A 1,651-nucleotide genomic window follows, 5' to 3' on the forward strand; every position below is an offset into this window, starting at 1 on the left:
GCACCCATTAACTCGTCATTTAGCATTAGGTATATCTTTTATCATCATTCCCTCTCGTCCTTCTAATGTTAAGGTTTTCCACCTCTGTTTTCTTTGTGACTCTTCTGTACCCCCACTTTAATGGTGGAAGGTTCTCAGAATCCAGTTTAAGTCTTTTTTTCCCTCTCCACTTGCTCCCCACATGACAGCCTTCATTTTCGGGCTTTCCATTGCCAGTTATGAACTTCCAGATTTCGTATGCCTTGGAAACTGCAAATTCACATATCTGACTTGCAATGTACATCTTCAATTACATGTTGAAGTCAGTTTACAGAGAATATCTCTGCTTTTATTTCCAGATATGTCTCAATCTACATTCTGCTAAGAGGAATTCATTGTATTTTACTTCCTCACATTATAGCAGTTAGCATCACTGATATTAATTCAGCATTATTATTGTTTTTAGATTTCTTTCCTGACAAAAATCAAAGATACAAGAGAACAGGGACTGTATATTTTATGTTCACGTTTATATCTTGAAGGCAACATATAACCAGGTACAGAAAAATGTTTTTTTAATAACTTGAATAAAATTATGATAGATAACTTAATTAAATCATATATTTTTAAGTCAGGTTGTAAAGTCAGCCTCGACATTTTATCTTAAAGAATAAACAAACACAAGAAATTTTGTATAGTAAAAATTTAATGAAAAAGGAAATTAATATATTGGCTAAATATGAAGAACATATATTGTTACATTCACCACAATGTAAAGGTACACATGATATTACATAAAAAAATAATTTAAATCTTAAAAATAATTAAATAAATATTTAAATAAATAGATGAACAGAGACATCAGCATGGTCATCTGTAAAGTACTAGTGCCTGCACAGGTATACACGACGCTTCTTTACACTGCTGAAAACATTTGAAAATTTTGATTCAACTCGTGGTGGTTATAGAAGTGAGTCTTTGAAATGGAGGAACTCATGAAAGTGTGAGATAATGTATTAGTCAATCAGGATCATTGCCATGTTGAACCAGTTTTCAATCCTTCCTCCTTAATATTTTTTGCAAGTTTGTTGAAAAAGAGAGAGATCTCATGATTTCTGCTCTGACAACCTCCCAGGCACAAGGGCTGTATTTCTTCTCTGTTAGATAAAGAGTGATTCTTTGGAAGTATTTCCTCACAGCCAGGATGGAGTCCTCATTCATCAGGGGAGTCTCTTCCATCCCAACCTCCTGTATCACACATGCTTCCAGGTTATTCAGTTGCTGGTAAAGTTCAGTGGAAAATTTTTCTAGGAGGCTCTGTTCCCAAGCAGCAGATGAGTCCTCTGTGCTGAAGAGATTGAAGGTCTGCTGGATCATCTCATGGAGGACAGAGATGGCTTGAGTCTTCTGGAACTGGTTGCCATCAAACTCCTCCTGGGGAAGTCCAAAGTCATGTCTGTCCTTCAGGCAGGAGAAAGGAGAGATTCTTCCCATTTGTGCCAGGAGTATCAAGGCCCTCCTATTACCCAGGCTGTGGGTCTGAGGCAGATCACAGCCTAGAGAACAGATGGATTTGTAGCTGAGCACCAGCACGGCCATCAGTAAAGAAAAGGACAGGGCCATTGGGATGTTGCAAATGTTGCTAGGCTACTTGAGATGGGTAACCTTGAAC

At 37.4% G+C, this 1,651-nt stretch overlaps 1 protein-coding gene across 1 annotated transcript; it reads right to left on the reverse strand.

Annotated features, from left to right (window-relative positions):
• Positions 1-671: 671 nt before the first annotated feature.
• Positions 672-1,651, reverse strand: IFNA17 (interferon alpha 17). The gene has a single exon (NM_021268.2). The coding sequence runs from the start codon at positions 1,600-1,602 to the stop codon at positions 1,033-1,035; it is 570 nt and encodes a 189-aa protein (NP_067091.1). The 5' UTR covers positions 1,603-1,651; the 3' UTR covers positions 672-1,032.

The sequence above is a fragment of the Homo sapiens genome, chromosome 9, assembly GCF_000001405.40.
Source record: "Homo sapiens chromosome 9, GRCh38.p14 Primary Assembly".
NCBI classification, from domain to species: Eukaryota; Metazoa; Chordata; class Mammalia; order Primates; family Hominidae; genus Homo; species Homo sapiens.